Below are 23789 nucleotides of genomic sequence, written 5' to 3' on the forward strand. Positions count from 1 at the left end.
TATGAGGCTATGGCAGACAAGGTAAAATGCCTGTCACAGGAGATAAATTATTTTGCTCATTAACAAGTCATTTGTCCTTTGATTTCTCAAAGCCCTAGAGAAACAGGAGCTCAGCTGACAATGACCTGAGGGGACCCCTACAGTGCTTCAAACAGTGGATGGAGGAGGAGATGCCTTCCTGGTTAAGAAATTATCCCTGAGCCCTTGTAGAGGACAGTCCAGCACAGGAAATTCTGGAACTACAAGATGAAAATGTGTGCCAGCATGCTTCTACTTTCAGGGTACAGTCTGAGGCCCTAGGGAGGAGGAGTTCCTCAAGTGCTTTGACCTCTTGCCAGGACAAAGACGGAGAAGTATTTAGAAGCATCTGAATTTGTTAGCTCTTCAGTTTTCCTCCTCCACTCCCTACCCTGCACACAGAGCCTCAGAAGGACAGACCAGCTTCACCCCCTTACCAGCAATTACTGAAGAATCACACCCCACCCACCTCAGGATCACTGATCTCCTTCCTATATGGGAACCCTGACCCTTGGAGAAAAACCGCTGACCTACAAACTCCCCACATTCACCTAGAGAGCACCAGAGCAGAGTTCTGAGTGAGATAAGCAGTCCTTTAGGGGGATCTGTTTTTCCAGCTCTCATTTTTCCCCCCTTATTTCCTTTATCTCTAGAATTCTAAGAGCTGTACTGTTCATTGTTTCTACCCATCATTATTAAGGGAGAGATATGGAAACATTCCCATGGTAACAGTTTCATCTCAAAATATCTGAATGCTATTAGCTGCCTTTCCACTCCAGGGAAAAGATGAGATTTTTTTTTAAAAAAAGAAATCTTTATTCTCAGGATATAGTTGACAGGTCCTCTCCACACTGCAGGGAGGCCTGCCCAGATCAGTGGAGATGGGAAAGGGCTCATAAAGCCAAATTTGTTTCTTAGCTGACTTCACTTCCTGAACATTTCAAAAACTTATTATTACATGGTTCTGACACCGACCCAGAGAATTGCTGGTGGAAGTACTGATGAAAACACCAACATCTCTGGGGGAAGTCATCAACTGGGAGCATATGAGATGGGCCAGCACAGACTTGGCTCAAAGACCCACAGACCACACTGTGTTACTGGAGAGCAACAGGTTTGAACAAACTCAGAGGTATGCGCTGGTTGCCATCAGAAAGCTGGGGAGAGAAAATGGGATAGGAAGCGTTGTACCTCATGTTCATGACACGCTTTATGGCTGGCCAAGGGCTTTTCCTATTGAAATGGGATGATGGAGGAGATAGGACACATTTATCTTAAACATGCATCTTAATTATCTATTGCTGGCGGGGTGTGGTGGCTCACACCTGGAATCCCAGCACTTTGGGAGGCCAAAGCGGGTGGATCACTTGAGCCCAGGAGTTCGAGACCAGCCTGAGCAACATGGTCTCTATCCATCTCTACAAAAAGTTAAAAAATTAGCCGGGTATGGGACTGCACGCCTGTAGTCCCAGCTACTCAGGGGGCTGAGGTGAGAGGATCTCATGAGCTGAGGAAGCAGAGGTTGCAGTGAGTTGAGATTGTGCCACTGCTCTCTAGCCTGAGTGACACAGCAAGACCCTATCTCAAAAAAATATATTTTATATATATAATATATATAATATTATGATATATATTATATAAAAATTATATATATAATATATAATATATGATATATCATATATGATATATGATATATCATATATCATATATATCATATATCATATATATAGCTGCATGACAAATTATTCCAAAACTTGGCAGCTTAAAATAAACATGTTATCTCACAGTCTCTGTGGGTCAGGAATTTGGGAGCAATTTAGCTGGGTGATTCTGGCTCCAGGTCACTAATTAGATTGTATTCAGACTGTCAACCAGGGCTGCAGTCACCTGAAGGCTTGACTGGGGCTGGGAGATCCCTTTCCAAGATAGCACATTAGCCATTGGCAGGAGGCCTCAGCTCCTCACCACATGGGCCTCTCTTCACAGCGCTGCTTGAATGACATGGCAGTTGGCTGACCCTGGAGCAAGTGACCCAAGACATAGAAAACAGGAGGAAGCTGCACTGTCTTGTTTGACCTAGTCTCAGAGGGCACACATCATTGCTTCTGCCATATTCTGTTCTATAGAAGCATGTCACTAAGTCCAGCACACATGTTTGGGGAGGGGAATCGAGCCACCTCTTGAAAGGAGAAGTATCAAGGACTCTGTGAACATGTTTTAGGACTATGATGTCATGGCAGTTATGAAAACTAATGTGTCAGTGCTGTATGTACTGATATGAAGCAATCTCCAAGATGTATCTTCAGTGACAACAGCATGATGCAGAACGCTAGGTAAGTCTGGATACTATTTGCAGTTTTAAAAAGGGAGGAGGGAGCCAGGCGCGGTGGCTCACGCCTGTAATCCCAGCACTTTGGGAGGCCAAGGCGGGTGGATCACAAGGTCAGGAGATTGAGACCATCCTGACTCACACAGTGAAACCCCGTCTCTACTAAAGAAACACAAAAAATTAGCCAGATGTGGTGGCGGGCACCTGTAGTCCCAGCTACTTGGGAGGCTGAGGCAGGAGAATGGCCTGAACCCGGGAGGTGGAGCTTGCGGTGAGCCAAGATCGCAACACTGCACTCCGGCCTGGGCAACAGAGCGAGACTCTGTCTCAAAAATAAATAAATTAATTAATTAATTAATAAAAAAGGGAGGAGGGATAAATATGCAGTTATGCATAGACTACCTCTCAGAGGACATACAATAAACTGGCCTCAAGGAGGAGGGCTGGGGACAGGTGGGAGAGAGATTTGTTTTCTGTACCTTTTGGATTTTATTTGAGCAAGTATTACTCTTTGATAATAAAATTTAATTTCAAAAATAGATTAAAATAACATAGAAATAAATAACATTGTTGAAAGAACTTAGAATGACCAGTTTGAGATGGAATTTTTTTTTTTTTGAGGTGGGGTTTCACTCTTGCCCAGCAGGGAGTACAGTGACACGATCATAGTTCACTGCAGCCTCGCCCTCTCAGGCTCAAGCACTCCTCCCACCTCAGCCTCCCAAGAAGCTGGGACTACAGGCACATGCCACCACACCTGACGAATTTTAAAAAATTTTTAGAAGAGGTGAGGTCTTGCTAGATTGCCCAGGCTCAAATTCCTGAGTTAAAGCAGTCCTCCTGCCTCAGCCTCCCAAAGTGCTGGGATTACAGGCATAAGCCATTGTGCACCTGGTTGGAATTCACTTTTTAAAGCTATTGGGGCCAGCAGTGAGCTATGATTGTGCCTGGGTGACAGAGCAAGACCCTGTCTTGAGGAAAAGAAAAGAATAAAACTATCAGGGTAGATGATTTTAGGGGATTGGTTTGCTTGCTTTCTTGCTTGTTTTCTTGGAAGCAAGTGTACTTTCTTGGCAGGCATGTTTTGAGACAGGAGGCTATAAGCAAGATGTTGAAGGAAAACAGACCAAGCTCTCTGAAGGAGAGCACTTGGAAGAGAATCTCGTCCAGTTCTCATCCCGTGCATGCCCACCTACCTGGACTTGCACATATCTGCTATATTTTCCCTTCTGTGACTACAGAGAAACTGTCCACAGGCAGCTCCTTCACTTACGCATTAGAGTCTGGCCTCTGTCGTCTGCATCCTCCAGCAATTCCCCCTGCCTTTCTTGGATCTTTGATTTGTGTTCCTCTGGATTTATTAACAAACAAACAAACAAACATTACTTCTCCCATCTGAAAAAAAAAATCTCTTCGTCCGCATTTCTCTGTTCCCTTTATAGCTTGCTTGAAAGAGTTTCCTCAGTGTCTCCTATTCTGTCTCTTTTCAGAACCTGAGATATAGCTCACACTCCATAAAATTCACCTTTTTAGCATGTACAATTCAGTGGTTTTTAGTACAGTCACAAACTTGTGCAACCGTCACCACTATCTCATTTCATCACTCCCGAAAGAAACTCTGTACCCATTAGCAGTCACTCCCCAATCCTCCTTTCTCCGAACCCCTGGTAATCACTAATCTACTTTCTGTCTCTACGGATTTGCCTCTTCTAAATATTTTATATCAATGGAATCATACAATATGTGGATCTTTGTGACTAGCTCCTTTCAGATTGCATAACGTTTTCAAGGTTCATCTGTATGAACCTTGTATCAGCATGTATCAGCATTCCATTCCTTTTCATGGATGAGTAATGTTTCATTGTATGGAAATATCACATTTTGTTTATCGTTCATCAATTTATGGATATTTGGGCCGCACGGTGACTCACGCCTGTAATCCCAGCACTTTGGGAGGCCAAGGCAGGCGGATCACTTGGGGCTGGAGTTCGAGACCAGCCTGGCCAACATGGCAAAACCCTGTCTCTACTAAAAATACAAAATTAGCCAGGTGTGGTGGTGCATGCTTGTGATTCTAGCTACTGGGGAAGCTGAGGCATGAGAATCACTTGGACCCAGGAGGTGGAGGTTGCAGTGAGCCGAGATCACCTGGGCAACAGAACAAGACTCTGTCTCAAAAAAAAAAAAATTATGGATATTTTGGGTTGTTTCCGCCTTTTCATTATTATCAATAATGCTGCTACAAACATTCATATACAAGTTTTTGTATGGGCATATGTTTTCAATTTTCTTTTCTTTTTTTATGACAGGGTTTCACTCTGTTGCCCAGGCTGCAGTACAGTGGCATGATCTCGGCTCACTGCAACCTCTGCCTCCCAGGCTCACACGATCCTTCCAGTTCAGCCTCCCCAGTAACTGGGACCACAGGCACAGGCCACCACACCCAGCTTTTTTATTCTTTCTTTCTTTCTTTCTTTTTTGCAGTTTTGCTCTTGTTACCCAGGCTGGAGTGCAATGGTGCAATCTCGGCTCATCGCAACCTCCACCTCCCAGGTTCAAGCGATTCTCCTGCCTCAGCCTCCCAAGTAGCTGGGATTACAGGCATGTGCCACCATGCCTGGCTAAGTTTTTTTGTATTTTTAGTAGAGACAGGGTTTCTCCATGTTGGTCAGGCTGGTCTTGAACTCCCGACCTCAGGTGATCAGCCCGCCTCAGCCTCCCAAAGTGCCAGGATTACAGGTGTGAACCACTGTGCCCGGCTAGTCTTTCTTTCTTTTCCTTTTTTTTTTTTTTTTTTGTTTTTTTTTTTTTGGCGGAAACACAGTCTTGCCATGTTGCCCAGGCTGATCTCCAACTCCTGGGCTCAAGCGATCCTCCCTCCTTGGTCTCCCAAAGTGCTGGGATTAGGCGTGAGCCACCACACCAGGCCTCGGATTTTCTATACATAAGATCATGTCATCTGCAATTAGAGATAGATTTATTCCTTCCTTTCCAAAGTATATGTCTTTTATTTATTTTTCTTTTTTAATTGCCCGGCCTAGACCCCCCAGTACAATGTTAAGTACAAACGACAAGAGCAGACATCCTTGTTCTGTTCTTGATCTTAGGGGGAAAACATTCAGCCTTTTCAGTAGTAAGTTGTCGGTTAGCTGTGGCTTTTCTCTCTCTCTCTTTTTTTTTTGAGACAGGGTCTTGCTCTGTCATCCAGCCTGGAGTGCAGTGGTGTGATCTTCGTTTACTGCAACCTCCTCCTCCTGGGCTCAAGCAAGCCTCCCAGCCCCCAAGTGTCTGGGATCACAGGCACACACCACCACGCCCGGCTAATTCTGTTTTTTTTTTTTTTTTTCTTTTCGGAGACGAAGTCTTGCTGTGTCATCCAGGCTACAGTACAGTGGTGCAATCTCGGCTCACTGCAACCTCCCCCTCCCGGGTTCAAGCAATTCTCTTGTCTCAGCCTCCCAAATAGCTGGGATTACAGGCACGTGCCACCATGCCCAGCTAATTTTTGTATTTTTAGTAGAGACAGGGTTTTGCTATGTTGGCCAGGCTGGTCTTGAACTCCTGACCTCAAGCGATCCGCCCGCCTCGGCCTCCCAAAGTGCTGGGATTATAGGGGTGAGCCACCGCACGCAGCCTCCGGCTAATGTTTGTATTTTTTAGTAGACAGGGTTTCACCATGTTGCCCAGGCTGAGCTGTGGGTCTTTCATAGATGTCTTTTATCAGATTAAACCAATTCTCTTCCTAGTTTGTTGAGTGTTTTATTTATAATGAAGCAACATTGGATTTTATCAAGTGCTTTTTTTCATTTACTGAAATGATCATTTGTTTTTTGTCCTTTATTCCATTCATACAGTGTGTGTATTACATTGATTTTTGTATGATGAACCAATCTTGCATTTCTGGGAAAATCCCATTTGGTCATGGTATATACTCCTTTTTATATATTGTTAGATTCAGTTTGCTTGTATTTTGTTGAGGATGTTTGCATCTATAGCATAAGGTGTATCATTGTGTAGTTTTCTTTTTTTTTTTTTTTTTTTTTTTGAGACGGAGTCTCGTTCTGTCGCCCAGGCGGGAGTGCTGTGGCGCGATCTCCGCTCACTGCAAGCTCCGCCTTCCGGGTTCACGCCATTCTCCTGCCTCAGCCTCCCAAGTAGCTGGGACTACAGGCGCCCGCCACTGCGCCCGGCTAATTTTTTGTATTTTTAGTAGAGACGGGGTTTCACCGTGTTAGCCAGGATGGTCTCGATCTCCTGACCTCGTGATCCGCCCGCCTCGGCCTCCCAAAGTGCTGGGATTACAGGCGTGAGCCACCGCGCCCGGCCGGTGTAGTTTTCTTGTGATGTCTCTGTCTAGTTTTGTTATCCAAGTAACACTTTTCTTTTTTTTTCTGAGATGGAGTCTCACTCTATCTCCCAGGCTGGAGTGCAGTGGCGTGATCTTGGCTCACTGCAAGCTCCACCTCCCTGGTTCACACCATTCTCCTGCCTCAGCCTCCTGAGTAGCTGGGACTACAGGCGCCTGCCACCACACCCGGCTAATTTTTCGTATTTTTAGTAGAGACAGCGTTTCACTGTGTTAGCCAGGATGGTCTCCATCTCCTGACCTCGTGATCCACCTGCCTCGGCCTCCCAAGATGCTGGGATTACAGGTGTGAGCCACCGTGCCCGGCCCCAAGTAACACTTTTCATGGTAATACTGGCCTCACAGAATGAGTTGGGAAGTGTTCTCCCCTTTTCTATTTTTTGGAAGAATTTTTGAAGAGATTGATGTTCCTATTCTGTCTTGAGCCACTCCTCCCAGCTTGTTACCTCCCCTACCATACCGAAACTGCTCTTGTAAAGGTCTCCAATGTCCTCCACATTGCCAAATTCAACAATCAGTTCTCAGCCATCGTCTTACCACTCAGCAAGAGCATCTGATCTCAGCCATCGTCTTACCCTCAGCAACAGCATCTGATCTCAGCCATTATCTTACCCTCAGCAACAGCATCTGACACATTTCCTTTCTCCTCGGAACACTGTCTGCTTCTGGCCTCCACAATCTCCTGGTTTTCTTTCTGCCTCACTGGCCACTATTTTCCGGGCTTCTTTGCTGGATTGTCTTCCTCTATCAGATATCTTAATGGTGAAGAGACACAGGGCTGAGTCCTTGACACCTTTTTTCTGTCTTTTCTCAGATTTTTTGTAATTTTATTTCTCTCCTAAATTTAAACACCAACTATATGCTGAAGCCTCCCAAATTTAGAGCCCAAATATGGTCTCTCTCTTTATCTTTAGATTTATATATCCTCTGCCTATTAGACACCTTACCTTGGATGCTGAATGTATATCTCAAACTTAACATGTCCAAAATTAAACTTTTGATCTATTCCACCAAAATCTGCTATGCCCACCATCTTCCCCATCATTATTAACCACAACTTTAGCTTTTCAGTTGATCAGTCCAAAAATATCCGAGTCATCCTTATTGGATACTTTCTTTCCCTCACTCCCTACAGTCATTCTATTAGCAAATCCTGTTGGGCCTACCTTCAAGATAATCAGAGAGTGGCCACCTCTCACCACCGTCATGATCCAATTATCTCCCTAATCTTTCTCTAGCTGGGATTGATGGACTAGGCTTCTACTGGTCTCCCTCCTTCCCCCTTTGCCCACCTTCAGGCTGTTCCTGGGACAGCAACCACCTCAGAGTTTCTGTCATAAATAAATGTTGAATTTTGTCAGATGATTTTCTGCATCTATTGAGATTATCGTATAGTTTTCCTTCTTCAGTCTGTTAATATGGTAAATAACATAGTTTTTGGTTCTGTTTTGTTTTAGATGGGATCCCTGCCTCCCAGGCTGGAGTGCAGTGGTGCAATCATGGCTCACTGCAGCCTTGATCTCGGCTCACTGCAGCCTCGATCACCCAGGCTAAAGCAATCCTCCCACCTCAATCTCCCAAGTAACTGGTACTATGGGCGTGTGCCACAACGCCTAGCTGACATTTTAGAAACAAAATCTCATTATAAGGTCTCATAATGTTGCCCAGGCTGGTCTCAAATTCCTGAGCTCAAGCAGTCTCCCTGCCTCAGCCTCCCAAAGTGCTAGGATTACAGGCATGAACCACCACGCCCAGCCAACATTGATTTACAAATGTTAAACCAACTTGCTGTGCTGAGATTAACCCCATTTGGTCACGATGTATTATCCTATTCATATATGTTAGAGGTGACTTGCCAACATTTTAAGAATGTCTGAACCTATGTTCATGAGGGATATTGGTCTGAAGTTTTCTTTTCTTAAAATGTCTCAAGTGTTTGTTGAGTGTATAAATGAGAGCCTGTTGGTCCAAGGGGGGTGGGTGGGAGAGTGTATTAAGAAGGAAAAAAATAGACTGGGTGCGGTGGCTCACGCCTGTAATCCTAGCACTTTGGGAGGCTGAGGCAAGCGGATCACCTGAGGTCGGGAGTTCGAGACCAGCCTGACTGACATGGAGAAACCCCCGTCTCTACTAAAAATACAAAATTAGCCAGGTGTGGTGGCGCATGTCTGTAATTCCAGCTACTCAGGAGGCTGAGGCAGGAGAATCGCTTGAACCTGGGAGGCGGAGGTTGCGATGAGCCTAGATCGCACCATTGCACTCCAGCCTAGGCAATAAGAGTGAAACTCCATCTCAAAAAAAAAAAAGAAGAAGAAGAAGGAAAAAAAATAGCACATTTATAGGGCTGTTTCCAAAGCCCTTTTCACATACCATTTAATTGTCATAACCAAGAGGTGTAGATATTACTATCATGCCCATTATAAGAGAACTAAGACTCAAGGAGTTTAAGGAACCTGTCCCAGACCTAGCTAACCAGAAGGACTGGGACTTGAACCCATGCCCTCTGTCTGCAGATGCCATGTTCGAGGTTAGTACCCAGTGAGTGAAGACCTTTAGGGACAGGCAGAAGGGCTCCTTTCAGCTTTGATTATGCTTGTGACCATTTCCCAAGGGAAGGAGCAGAGCTTCTGCCATGAACATGATACAAGTAATTCCATGTTTCTTACTTACAGCATCTTAAGAAAACTCCAGCATGGCAGAATGAGCACTCCACCTGCAGATGCCCAGGAGAGCCTGAGACTTATTTTTAGCCAGAATAGGAAAATGCCAAATATCTTCTAGGAGAGTTGGCAGCTGGAGGGCTGCTGATACAGCTGTGTTTATATAAGCTGGTGCAGAGGGGAGAATGGTGGTTGCAAAGGAGGCAGGAGGTGCTTAATCCACCTATACACTTGCTGAGGTTTTCTTGGGAAGTTCTGGTCAGGAGTTACTGCTCAGGAGAGAGCGTCATGCAGACAGTCTGGAGATTGCCAGGAGCATAGGTGCAACTGGCTTCCTTGAGTCAGAGCATTTGTCAAAGCCGCCCTTAAATGACCTGTCCACTGGTCGTTGGCCTCTTCCCACCCTATTATCCAGGGGTAAATAAAAGAACAGAAGCTCTTTCAAATGGTGCCATTTTATTTATTTTTTGAGACAGGGTCTCTGTCACCCAAGCTGGAGTTCAGTGGCGCCATCACGGCTCACTGCAGCCTCCATCTCCTGGGCTCAAGCAATCTTCCTGCCTCAGCCTCCTGAGTAGCTGGGACTAGAGGCCCACGCCCACCCCCCACCAGCTTTTTAAATTTTTTTGTAGAGGTGAGGTCTCCTTATATTGCCCAAGCTGGTCTCGAACATCCTAAGCTCAGGCGATCCTCCCACTTCTGCCTCTCAAAGTCCTGGGATTATGGGCATGAGCCACTGCACCTGACCCTCAAGTTTTAAAGCATAGAGGTTCACCCGATTCTGACCATACTTCTCAGATGTGCTTGGTGAAAGCAATCTATAACACCCCATCCTACAGAAGCTGTCAAATAGTTTTCTCACAGAGGCAGCAAAATAAGGCTTTTAAAGGTGTTACCTATGGGCTCTCAAAGAGAATTAAAGTAAAACGTACCTTAGTAAGGATTTTTTAAAATATTTTTTAAAATGTTCAAATAAAAACAAAAGTAGAGTAAATAGTATAATGATCTCTCATGTACATGTACCCACCACTGAACTTCAACACTTACTAACATGGTCAATCTGTTTCATTGTTCCCCCACCCATTTTGGAATTATGCTGAACAAAGCCCAGATAGCCCATTATTTCATCTGAAAATACTTCAGTGTGTACCTCTAAAGTATAAAGAATCTTAAAACAAAACAAAACAAAACCACAATACCATCTTCACACTTTAAAAATGAACTATTGGCCAAGCATGTTGGCTCATGCCTGTAATCCTGGCACTTTGGGAGGTGAAGGTAGGCAGATCGCTTAAGTTCAGGAGTTCAAGCTCAGGAGTTGCCTGGTCAACATGGCAAGACCCCATGTCGACAAATACAAAAATTAGCCAGGCATGGTGGTGCAGGCCTGTAGTGCCAGATACCCAGAAGGCTGAGGTAGGAGGATTGATTGAGCCTGGGATGTCGAGGCTGCAGTGAGACCTGATGGCACCATTGCACTCCAACCTTGGCGACAGAACAAGACCCTGTCTCAAAAAAACCACAATTCCTTAAGATCAAATATACAGTGTTTGGATCGCCCCAACTCTTTAAACAAGTCTTTTTTTTTCACTTGTTTTTTTTAAGTCAGGATCAAATATATATTGCTGACGAAACCAGGTGATTTGTCCTGTAGTTTCCTATGGTATGGATTTTCCTGATCATATACCTGTGGTGTCATTCAACATACTCTTCTAAATATATTTATTCATTAATGACCAATGTATTTCCTGTGAATTGGATCTAGAGACTTGAACAGATTCACGTTCAATTCTGTAGCAAAAATACTTAGGGGGTGCTGTATACTTCCATCAGAGGCAGCAAATATCTGGTTTCTTTCTGTGATGCTAGCCTATCATTATCGCCTAGACCCGCAAATTGACTGACAATTAATTTTAAGGAACAAATGTGGCTGCAATGGCTTTCTGAGTAATACGTGCAGAAAAACACGTCCTGTAAAGTGTATTGTTTGTTTGTTTTTTGTTTTCTAGGCATGAAAACAGCCCTGGAAGTCTGCCCTGGCGCCTGCACTGAGACTAATCCAGGTCACTTTAGGGAAACTGCCCAGCTCTGGCACCGCACTGTGTGTCTGTCAGCTCTGTGGGGTGCTATGGCCTCATTTTCCCACTAGAGGACACTGTGGCTCCAGGACTTCATGTGGCGCCCAGCCAGTCTTGCTACTCCAGCACCTCTAAGGAGGCAAAGCCTTTAGTGTGCATTTATTAGGTACCAACTGGGTGCTTTCTGTATCAAGCAGAGAAATAAAAGAGGTCAAACACAAGGTCCTGTGGCATTGTTTCCTGATGTAGTTTCTTTCTTTTTCTTTTTCTTTTTTTTTGAGATGGAGTCTTGGTCTTGTCGCCCAGGCAGGAGTGCAGTGGCGCCATCTCAGCTCACAGCAACAACTGCCTCCTGGGTTCAAGCGATTATCGTTACTCAGCCTCCCAAGTGGCCGGGATTACAGGCGCCCGCGACCACACCCGGCTGATATTAGTATTTTTAGTAGAGACGGGCTTTCCGCATGTTGCCCAGGCTGGTCTCGAACTCCTTACTTCAGGTGATCCACCCGCCTCGGCCTCTCAAAGTGCTGGGATTACAGGCGTGATCCACCACGTCTAGTCGTGTTTCCTGATGTAGTTTCTTTGCATTATTTTATTTTATGTATTTGTTTATTTTTTGAGACAAGGTCTTACTGTGTTACCCAGGCTGGAGTGCCGTGGTGCAAACACAGCTCACTACAGCCTTGAACTCCTGGGCTCAGACAATCCCCCCATCTCCACCTTCTGAGTAGCTGGGACTACAGGTGCCTGCCACTGTGCCCAGCTAATTTTTAAATTTTTTATTTGTCAGGATGGAGTATCACTATGTTGCCCAGGCTGGTCTCAAACTCCTGGGCTCAAATGATCCTCCCACCTCAGCCTCCCAAAGTGCTGGGATTACAGGCATGTATTTCCCTTTAGAAAACAACAGAGGTGCTTCTCCATCTGCTGGAAACCATTTTAGCCCCTGCTGTAGGATGGCTGCCTCCTGCAAATTCGGTTACCTAGTTGTTTTTTTTTTTTTTTTTTTTTCAGACAGGGTCTCACTCTGTCGCCCAAACTGGAGTGCAGTGGTGCAGTCTTGGCTCATTGCAACCTGTGCCTCCCAGGCTCAAGTGATTCTCCTGCCTCAGCCTCCCGAGTAGCTGGGACTACAGGCGCTCACCACTACGCCTGGCTAACTTTTGTATTTGTAGTAGAGACGGGGCTTCACCACATTGGCCAGGCTGGTCTCAAACTCCTGACCTCAAACTATCCACGCGCCTTGGCCTCCCAAAGTGCTGAGATTACAGGCATGAGCCACCGCACCCGGCCGTTGGATGTTTTTTTTTTAACTGCAATATTTGGGCTTTGGGGAGTGTGAATATATCCAAGAAAGATGCCAAAGTGTATTCATCTCTGAAATAATTTATTCATTTATTCAACTCCATGTATTGAGTATCCTGGGCGGGGAAGGAATGGGGAACGGATGCTTACTGAGAGCTACTCTGTGCCAAGTACTGTCCCATCCTTTTTACCTACATCCTCACAAGATGGGTAATATTAGCCTCATTTAAATCCAAGGAAACTGAGGCTCATTGAGGTTAACCAGCCTGCTGAAAGTTATCCTGCCAGATGCAAATGGAAGTCTAAATGGATAAATATGTATGTTTTCCACCAAATCCCTCAATGCCACACTGACAAGCATGGTACTAGGATGTAGAGAAAGTAAGATGATTATAGAGACATCCTTTCCTTAAGGAGGTCATCATATAACACAGAAGTTGCAATAAATGGACAATTATAGAACTTCTAATAGGTGGGCACCCTTTCAATAAGTAGCTGACCACGCACAGCCTCCCTCTGCTGCTATGACACTGTCCTTATGCAGAGGTAGGCACTGACCACCAAGAATAGGGCCTCTGCTTGTAGTGATGCCTTTGTGTTGACTGTCCACTCACCCTCACCCCATCACCCCCATGACCAAGGTTTCTGGGGGCAACAGCATGATTCAGGCTATAACCACCAATCCGCATGGAGAATGTAGCAAAGCCAAGACAGACATCTTCCCTACTGCTCAAAATCTCTAGTTTAGGCTGGGCGCAGTGGCTCATGCCTGGAATCCTGGCTTTGGGAGGCTGAAGCAGGTGGATCATTTGAGACCAGTTCAAGATCAGCCTGGCCAACATGGTAAATCCCCATCTCTACTAAAAATACAAAAAAATTAGCCAGATTTGGTAGTATGCTCCTGTAGTTCCAGCTACTTGGGAGGTTGAGGCAGGAGAATTGCTTGAACCTGGGAGGTGGAGATTGCAGGGAGCTGAGATTGCGCCACTGCACTCCAGCCTGAGTGACAGAGCGAGAGTCTGTCTCAAAAAAAAAAAAAAGTCTCTAGTTTAATGGAGGAAGACAAACACAGACATATGCAATACCAGGACAAAGCAATGAGTTCTTGAAAATTCTGTGATAATGCAGCAAATAATTTTAAATGCCCTTCCAGTTATTCATATTTTCTTTTCTTTTCTTTTCTTTTTTTTTTTTTTGAGACGGAGTCTCGCTCTGTCGCCCAGGGTGAAGTGCAGTGGCGCGATCTCGGCTCATTGCAAGCTCCGCCTCCCAGGTTCACGCCATTCTCCTGCCTCAGCCTCCCAAGTAGATGGGACTACAGGCGTCCGCCACCATGCCCGGCTAATTTTTTTTTTGTATTTTTAGTGGAGACGGGGTTTCACCGTGTTAGCCAGGATGGTCTCGATCTCCTGACCTCGTGATCTGCCCGCCTCTGCCTCCCAAAGTGCTGGGATTACAGGCGTGAGCCACCGCGCCCAGCCGGGTTATTCATATTTTCAAGCCCACTTAGCCTGTCCCAGCCTTGTCCCTACTGCCTCATAGTTCGGCCCTGGCAGCACAACTGAATTCATATTGTCAGAGCCCAAGCTGTGTTATTTACTAAAATCTGACCAGTTGCACTAAGGAGAAAATGACAGCTGGCAGCTGGGAGAATGGACTGGCTGGTGTAAGTTGGGAAAAAGAGACACAGGTGGCAGGTGTCTAAAGAAGCAGAGCTGTGGGTGTTTGGAGAGGCCCAATCCCAAATGCCACTTCAGCTTCAGGCAACCACAGCTTCAAGGTTCCGGGAAGGAAGGACAAGCGTGGGTGTGCTCCAGCCACCACCCTCCTCCAAGTGAGTCCTGGGATAATGAATGAGCGGTCAGCCAGAGTCTTTGCTCTCTGATGAAAGGACCTCCGCTGCAGACTGTCCCTCTGCAAATACGATTGTGCCCCAGGAACCATCTGGCAAATGTGCCAGTTCCTTCAGCATTTCTGTTATTTCCGTGACTTTTGGCCCCTTTTTTTCCTGGGATATAAATTGTTGCAGCAAGCCAAGCCAAGCCAGCAGAATGTTTACTGCCGCTTTGCAGGCCTTCTCTGAGCCTGGTTAACCCCATGGCTCACAGCCTATGAGGCTGCTCACAGCTAATGATGTCTTGGATGCATGCGTCTCCCCTCTGCCGTTCTTGTGTATTTTGGAGTATGCAGAGCCAGGCATGTGAGCTGCAGCCCAGAGCTACAGTGACCACATTGAGAAGCTGGGTTTGGGGGAAGTGCATTTCTGTTGCAGGATGTCCTTCACGGAGAAGGGACAGGTTGATTTCATCTCTCTGCAGATGACGTGGACAGCTCCCCAAGGAGCCACAACAGGCCACCCCAGCTGTAGGACAGATCACGTGCTTTGGCTGCACAGGGGAGGATGCCCAACAAACCGAGACGGCCCACGTCAGCCACTGGGCCCCATTTTGCACAGTGCCACGTTCCTCCTCTGACCTGGCCTGATGGTGGGCGAGGCTGAAGAGTTATGGGTCACCTTCAGACCCTTTGAGCCAGCCCCTCAGTTTCAGTCTGCTTCGCTGATTTTCATTCAGAGAACAGATACCGGCATGTGGAAGGGGAGACTTACTCAAGTCACTCATCTCCTTGGTGATGCACTTCATGGGCAGGGAAGCCATATGGAGCCGTCAACCATAAGTCCCCTCATCCCAACCCAGGGAGTACCAGATTGTTCTAAAGGGGGGGCAGAGGAAGCAGTCAATGCAAAGACTCCCCGAATGTCACTGTCAGCCTAACAGTGGACAAGTGGGCAGTTCCAATGCAGATTCACACCTTCCTGCCTTAGTACATGCAGTTCCTTCTGTCTTGAACACATCAGGCCCCATCCACCTGGTGAACTCCTACTCAATCTTTTAAGATCCAGCTCCAGCATCACCTACTTGGACGCCTTAATGCCACCACATCCTTTGCACCCATCTCTACTTGTACCTGTCACATTGCACCTGCAGTTGTTTTTAGCTAGCATGCCTTTTCCACCTGACTTCGAGTTCACTGAGGGCAGAGAACTATGTTTCACTAATCTCCAGGTCTAGAGACTTGGTCTGTAAACGTGTTTATCAGCAGTGTTTTGGAAGGGAAAATCAGGGATTATGGAATTTAGAGATGGATTCTCCTCCAGAAATCTCTTAGTCCCTCCCACTGGTTTCACAAAAGACAAAACTGAGATTAGGAAACTGCCTTCCCCAGGGCCACAAGGCTAAACAGTGACAGAGCTTGGACAAGAGCCTAGGTCTGCTGGCCCCTTGTCCTGCTCTCAGGTACTAAGAAATCAGATCCTGCCGGGCGCGGTGGCTCACGCCTGTAATCCCAGCACTTCGGGAGGCCAAGGCACGCAGATCACCTGAGGTTGGGAGTTCGAGACCAGCCTGACCAACATGGAGAAACCTCGTCTCTATTAAAAATACAAAATTAGCTGGGCATGGTGGCACATGCCTGTAATCCCAGCTACTCAGGAGGCTGAGGCAGGAGAATCACTTGAACCCGGGAGGAGGAGGATGCGGGAGGCAGAGGTTGCGGTGAGCTAAGATCGCGCCATTACACTCCAGCACCTGGGCAACAAGAGCAAAACTCTGTCTCAAAAAAGAAAAAGAAAAAGAAAAAGAAATCAGATCCTGAACTGTATTTCCCCTGCCAGCTGGGAAGGAGAGCTGACGGTAATGAACAGGCTTCTGGGCCCGCACAGGATGGAGAAGGGTTAGAGGGACACCAATTGAATTTAGAGCTGGAAGGGATGTCATAGATCATCTAGTCTGACCCCTGCATTTACAGATGGAAAAAAAAAATGGAGGCCCATGGGGGTGAGGTGTCTGCCCAAGGTCACACAGCAAGCTGGTGAGAGAACTAAGCTGAGAACGCAGGCCTCCTAATTCCTAGGGAAGTGCCCTTGCCCGACTGAATGAACCTCCCACCCCAGAAAGATGGATGACCAAGCCCCTCCCAACCGGCTGCTATCCGAAAAGCAGATCCCTGGAGTCCTTGACTCTTCCAGGCTTTGTCTTCTCTCTGCTGGTGGTGCAACACTTAAGTAGGGTGCATTCTGCATAAATAATAAAGAATGCTTCCTTTGCAGGGAGGAAGGCCGCATCTGGGCAGGCAGTGTGACAGATGGTATTTACAATGTGCACTGAGAAGTTCTCACACAGCCTCGCTTGGGCTGTGTGGCTGAGAGATGGAGGAAACGGATTTGAGTGCCCACTGTCTCACTCCCCTGCCTGATGCTCGCAGGCAGCGGCTGCTGCTGTTACCGCTGCTCCTGCATTTCTGTTCGGGACTGCTTCCCTCACGCCCGTTGCCTCTTGCCATACTGAATATGGAGCTCCAGGATGTCTTGCTGCTGCTGCTGCTGATGCTGATGCTGCTGCTGCGGCCTCACCATCAAAAAGCCTGCCTCGTGGACCCCACGTCATTCTTCGCTGCAGCCCCTCACTGGAGCAGGTGCTGGGCTGAATTGATGTTCTTCCCCAGAGGAGGCCAACGAAGTCCTAAGAGACTAGATGCTGGGCAGACTTCCCAGGGATTCTGGCCTCGGGGAGGCCTTCTCTAGGCCTGAAGAAGTATAAATAGGACAGGTTCATTCAATGAGCAAATACTTTTTGTGAACCTTCTATGTGCCAAGAATCATTCTAGGAGTCAAAGATGCTACTGCAGGGCAGGGGCAATGCTCACGCCTGTAATCCCAGCACTTTGGAAGTCTGAGGTGGGTGGATCACTTGAGGTCAGGAGTTCAAGACCAGCCTGGCCAACATGGTGAAACCCCGTCTCTACTAAAAATACAAAAATTAGCTGGGCATGGTGGTGCACGCCTGTAGTTCCAGCTACTCAGGAGGCTGAGGCAGGAGAACGGCTTGAACCCAGGAGGCGGAGGTGGCAGTGAGTTGAGATCATGCCACTGCACTCCAGCCTGGCTGACAGCCAGACTCCATCTCCAAAAAAAAAAAAAAAAAAAAAAAGATAATACTGCAAACCAACAAAACCAATCCTTGCCCCTCATAGACAGTGAGCTCTAATGTCAAGGTTTGCCACAGGTCTCTTACAGCTAATTACCCTTGGCTGTGCCAGACTCGCACCATTTCTTTCCCTCCACAGTCTGTTGGACACTCTGGTGCCTGGTTCTGTGCAGTGGGTAAGAAAATCAGATCATTCTCTTTTTTTCTGAGGACACTGATTGCACACTTAGGTTGAGAGAAACAAAGCAGTAAATAGACCAATGGAAGTTTTAGCTACAAAGCCAGAGACAACCCCCAAAGTTTCTGACTCATACAAGCCTGCAGCTGGACAAGCCCTATTTGTGCGCTGGGATTCAGCCTGGTCCAGTTGCCCTGGGAAAGCAGTCTCTGCAGACAGTGGTCAGCGGTCGGGGCCAAGGGCACTCACTACCATCAGGGGCTTTTGTATTTCACTCTTTAAATAAGAACTTTGGTGACAGGCATGGAGAATCAAACCTCCCCGGGGCCCAGGGATTTTAGTGTCCCCATTTATAAAATGGAGGCAATTGTATCTGTTCTGCTCACCTCAGAAAGGCTTGCTTTTTGAGGATGAAATGCAATGGCAAATGCGGAAGTATTTTGAAATAAAGGCAGCAGGCATACAGGCGCATTATTATTATGCAGAAGAATTTTTTTCTCCATAACATAAAAGTTGTCTCTTGTTGCAGGTTGAGAGTAATAACTATATAATTAGACTTTGTGTCATATCAAGAGAGGCATCCCCTTTTTTTCATTAAACAGACATTTGTTCAGTTTCTACAGTGTGCAATGTTGTGCATTGCGAAGGATGCAGAATTGAATAAGCCATAATCCTCCCCTTCAAGGAATGTACGTTCTAGTATCAGGAAGATAAAACTTAGAAGATATAATTCAAAGTCAAAAGGAAAAAGGGATTCAGAGGAAGGAGTGGTTCATTTGGGTTGGAGAGTTGAGGAAAGGCTTTGTGGAGGAGAGAGCATTCGTCAGAGAGATGGGCAAGATTCTCTCCTTTATTTTAAGGGATCCTCCCACCTCAGCCTCCCAAGTAGCTAGGACTACAGGTCCCATGCCACCACACCTGGCTAGGTTTTAATTTTTTTTTTTTTTTTTTTTTTTGTGAGACGGAGTCTCGCTCTGTCGCCCAGGCTGGAGTGCAGTGGCGTGATCTCGGCTCACTGCAGGCTCTGCCCCACTGGTTCACGCCATTCTCTCGCCTCAGCCTCCCGAGTAGCTGGGACTACAAGTGCCCGCCACCAGGCCCGGCAAATGTTTTATATTTTTAATAGAGACAGGGTTTCACCGTGTTAGCCAGGATGGCCTCGATCTCCTGACCTCGTGATCTGCCCGCCTTGGCCTCCCAAAGTGCTGGGATTACAGGCGTGAGCCACCGCGCCCGGCCGGTTTTAAATTTTTTTGTAGAGGCAGGGTCTTGCTATGTTGCCCAGGCTGGTTTTGAACTCCTGGACTCAAGTGATCCTCCCACCTTGGCCTCCCAAAGTGCTGGGATTATAGGTGTGAGCCACTGTGACTGGCTGATGGGTAAGATAGAACAGGTGGTTTACTGAAGACACAGGACCTGCCTATAGCACAGTGAAGGTCATATGGAAGTCTTGAGGCCCAATGAGAATTCAGAAATGGGACCCTGGGGACCAGCCAGGCCCCAAGGAGGTGGCAGGAAAGGAAGGTAAGACCTGGCAAAGTAGCTGATTGTTTCCCTGAATGTGTGACTGGCTAAATCTTGGGACTGGGAAAGTTTTTTTCTGTGCTTTTCTGAGCTCAACTTCTGGGTGCCCACGCCTTGCTTTGAAAGGGTTTGGTCTGTGAACCTACACATCTCTCAGTAATGATTTAAGTTACTCAGAAAACTGGGAGCCCTGGAGTGAAAGGAAGAGACGAAAGGGAAAGAAATCCATGTAGCAGTCTTGCTCCGTTTGATCTGGCAGACAGCGGGCGATGATGGAAGAATGCTGGAGATGGAGGTGGAGGGTGGTCGGATTCTGCCATCCTGAGCCATGTCTGCTGTTTGGACTTGCAGACTTCAAACACGGCTGGGGGATTCCCGGAAGACAAAAGAATTCAGGGCCGGGACTTGGATCTCAGTCAAAAATAACTTACGTCTTCATCTCAGGAAGGCAAACAGTGGTAGCTCAGGGCTGGTTTCTCAGAAGATTAGAGCTACAGGTGGGGACAGGGTGCCACGAAGGTCAGTTTAGGTTTAAGCTGGCTGCAGAGAGAGAAGGGGCTCGGAGGGTGTGGGTCTGGCAGAGGGAGATGTCAGAATGAACCCCAAGTGAAAGAGGTTCTGGAGAAAAAGTCATCCCTGTTTGCCCCCCTTCTGGGCATTGCCATTGCTTTGAGCAATAATTACAGCCCTTCATGTTTCTTCCCTGGCTTCTCATTAGCTCAAGGTGTCCACAAACAAACTGCTCAGCCCCCTTTGCCTTCCTCTCCCCGCTTCCAGCAGCTACTCCTGGCTTTTCCATGGCAGCCAACTGTCCCAGTTCCCAGGACCAGAACATCGGGTCCTTAAAAAAACTCCTTCCTCTCTTGGAGGGCACATTTGAGAGACTCAGCCCTGGAAAGGCTCTTCTCTCTCTCCTCCCCCTTATCCCACTGGACTGTCATTAGAGGATGACCTCATTTTCCCCCAGGAGGCCAGGGCCCGGGTCTCATCCCCTTTGTACTATCAGTACCTCGGCCAGGGTCTGGCACATAATGGACACTCAGCACGTGTGAGCTGAATGGCACTGCTGAGCTGTCGCCAACTTAATCTTCCTAAAATGCTGCTCCAGTTAGAAGCCATCACCGCTTCTCTATCTCCCACTGGGCGAGGTCCAACCTCCTCAGACTGGCACTCGGGGACTCTGGCGACACAGTGCTCCTCGCCTGCCCGGCCATCCTCACTTTGTGCTCAGCCACTTCATGGTTCCCAACACAGTCAACAGCTTTCCTATCTCTGTGTCTTTGCCGCAGCAGTTCCCTCCACCTAGAAACCCTTCCACGTTCTCTACCACAAGCTTGCCCCTTTCAAGGCTCATCTCAACATCATGCTCCTGCCCTTCTAAACCGAGTTTGATCCACCCTTCCCCAGCCCTTCATCCTGCTCTGCGTTGACTTCAAGTGTCTTGTTAGGAACCTTAAAAGAGGCCATGGTGTAGCGCACTTGCAAAATGAAGAGCAAGGAAGAAGTGCCAATAGGCCCAGTTCCGTGTCACTTCTCATTAGCGCCAAAGGTTCTCCCAGGGAGGGGCCTCTGCATGGCACACCTCCAGGCATCGACGAGTGCCTGCCTGCTGCAGCTGGTCAGTGAAAGTGACACCATGCCTACTCCCTCCTCTGCCCCCAAAATGCCACAGAATATGCCAGTCCTTAGGCTGTCTCAGGTGAGAGTAGAACAAAAGGTGTCAGGGTGCCTAGCCACTCCTATCCCCTGGAGCTTTCTAGGCCTGGACCCCAGGCCCCATGTCCTACTGCCTGCTCGGGAGTGGGTTGCAGATTCGCCTGGAGCTGAGGGGCAGAGTGGTCTGACCAGCTGGGCGTAGGTGACATTGAGGACAACAGGTAAAGGGTGGCCTCAGGCTCATGGAGGATGATGGATGTAACAACTTGTCCTAACAGTCTCCAAGTCCAGACACCATCACCTCCCAGCAAGGGCCAAGGTGAGAGAAGCTGCCCCGTGAAGCAAGAATCCTGGTGAGAGATCAGGAATTCCTTCTTAGGAGACTTTTGGAAACATAGCCTGCCAAGGCGGGGTAAATGTTCCTAGGGACAGAAGGAGGAACAAGATAGCCTTCTGGATGTTTCCCATCTTCCCTCTCCCTTTTATTCTAACTGCTGCCGCCCTTGTGACCTCTTCCTTGGACAGCACCTCTCATGGCCCTCTGCTCAGGCCAACCTCCCTCCTGTCTAGACTCTACACTACAGCCAAAGGGATCTTTTTTGTTTGTTTTGAGACGGAGTCTCACTCTGTCGCCCAGGCTGGAGTGCAGTGGCAGATCTCGGCTCACTGCAAGCTCCGCTTCCTGTGGTCAAGTGATTCTCCTGCCTTAGCCTCCCGAGTAGCTGGGATTACAGGCGCCCACCACCACGCCCGGCTAATTTTTTGTATTTTTTTAGTAGAGACAGGGTTTCAACGTGTTAGCCAGGACGGTCTCGATCTCCTGACCTCGTGATCCGCCCGCCTTGGTCTCCCAAAGTGCTGGGATTACAGCCGTGAGCCACCGCGCCTGGCCAGGGATCTTTTAAATATTACTCTACTGCTCACAATCCTTCAATGGCTCCCTATTGCCCTTAGGTAAAGTCCAAGCTCTTTTCCCATGAAACTCACAGCCCCTCACAACCTTCCCGTCCAGGCTGGGCTCTTTAGATTGGTCATCGTGCTCCAGTTTCCAGCCATGCCAAACTGCTTGTCGTTTGCCTCCCATATGATGCTGCTCCACAAGCCTGGTCGTGCTGTTCCCTCTACCTGGAACACCTCCTTCACCTTTTCCATGTTGCCTAGTTCTGGAGGCTTATCCTTTGGGAAGCCTTCCTGGACCCACAGCGACCCCCTCCTTTGGAGTTCTACACCTTCTGGGCTTCCCTTGAATCCAGGACTTACCCTTGTGTTGAATGTGACTGTCACCCCCAATTATCCATTTCTGGAGGGCAGGGTCTGGTTCTTATCCACCTCTGTATTCTCAAAGCTCTGTCATTGGTACTTAGTAGGAGCTTAATACATGTTCAGGAACAGAACTGAGCCTGCTAAGCTCCCTTCCCCACGAAGGGATGACAGAGTTGGATATGTTGATAAGAGCTGTCCCTGGGCTGATGAAGAGGCAGCTCCCTGGGTAGCTGGTATCAGAACACTGTCCAGGGTGGCTGGGCATCCCAGCAGAGTGGCCAACCCTTTTCTGTGCCCTTCTCCTTCCAGTTCCCCTGGAACCAGACTTCCTGGCCCACTTCTCTAGTCCCAGAGATCTAAGTATAACAGAGCCAACACCCATACCGGTCATGCAAATGACAGCCTGGGATGCGGGAGGCAGCGACACAGACCCCAGGGCCCCAGCGGTCATTTGTCCTTCTGGGCTCCTCTTCACAAAGGAATCAGCCTCTCTTCTGTCCCCTGAAGGCTGTTTTCAAAATCACACCCCATGCAGACAGTTTTATTTACAAGGAAATCTTGGCAGGATCTTGACTTGTTAGTAGAGTAGGGATGGGGAGGAGGGTGGTGAGAAACAAAAATAGTTGAAATGATCACACTTTCTGAAACAGAGATGAAAATTGGTGTCTGTAGCAAACTCACCTAATTAGAATCAAGTGAATTCCCTTCTCGGTGTTTAAGGGGAGCAGTCATTGCTGGGTGATGGTCGCAGTTCGGATCCTGGGCACGGGGTTATGTCTTTGCTTTCTGAAGATGACTGCATTAGTTGCAGCTCTCACTAATGGAAAGGAGCCTGTTCCGTTTCCCAGAGGAAGGAAGAGGGCAAAGACTAGTGAGTGAGTGGGTGGTGGGAAGAGGAAAGCAAGAGGAGTGGAAGGGCACAGCCTTGGTGTGGGCTGGGGACTGACTGCGAGATGCCTCCTGGAGAAGCTCCTGAGCCTCTGGGGAGAGCTGGCCCCTGCCAGGCCGGCCACTAGCACCATTTACAGCCAGAGCCTCTGCTTCGGGAGATGGTCTCTCTTGGGGGCGCTTTCCTGCAGGGAAACAGCATCGATTGTTTTCTTTAAAAGATCCCCTACTCCGTTTTGGCTAACTTCCTTTCTGATTGCTTTAGTTTCTTTACCGTCCCTCTCCCCAGATGGGGCATTTCCCTGGGCTTACCTTTGTCCATGTGGTCAAATGAAGCCTGGGCATGGTCACTTAGCTCTGGGTGTAGGAAGGGCAAGATTTAGGCTTTGGGGCCCACGACCCCGCAATCTGACTTCTCCCATTTCTGGGCCTCCCGAGACCTCCCAGAATCTGAGACCGCAGTGAATAGGGCGTAAGGATAATGGGGCGGGAGGCAGGAATCCCGTCCTTACAACATCGCGCCCCCAATTCACTCCTAG

At 47.8% G+C, this 23789-nt stretch overlaps 2 long non-coding RNA genes across 3 annotated transcripts; one reads left to right on the forward strand and one right to left on the reverse strand.

Annotated features, from left to right (window-relative positions):
• Positions 1–1781: 1781 nt before the first annotated feature.
• Positions 1782–11672, forward strand: LOC124903979 (uncharacterized). Its single transcript, XR_007065709.1, has 2 exons — positions 1782–2351; positions 11383–11672. It is a non-coding gene; the product is annotated as an uncharacterized LOC124903979 (long non-coding RNA).
• Positions 11673–16331: 4659 nt separating this feature from the next.
• LOC105371731 (uncharacterized) lies at positions 16332–23749 on the reverse strand. 2 transcript variants are annotated; one of them, XR_934665.2, is made up of 3 exons: positions 23563–23749; positions 23044–23194; positions 16332–17340 (listed from the first exon to the last, which is right to left on the reverse strand). It is a non-coding gene; the product is annotated as an uncharacterized LOC105371731 (long non-coding RNA). The 2 variants fall into 2 exon arrangements; XR_001752825.1 differs by having other exon boundaries at positions 23044–23435.
• Positions 23750–23789: the final 40 nt, after the last annotated feature.

This window comes from Homo sapiens, chromosome 17, assembly GCF_000001405.40.
Source record: "Homo sapiens chromosome 17, GRCh38.p14 Primary Assembly".
Classification (NCBI taxonomy): domain Eukaryota; kingdom Metazoa; phylum Chordata; class Mammalia; order Primates; family Hominidae; genus Homo; species Homo sapiens.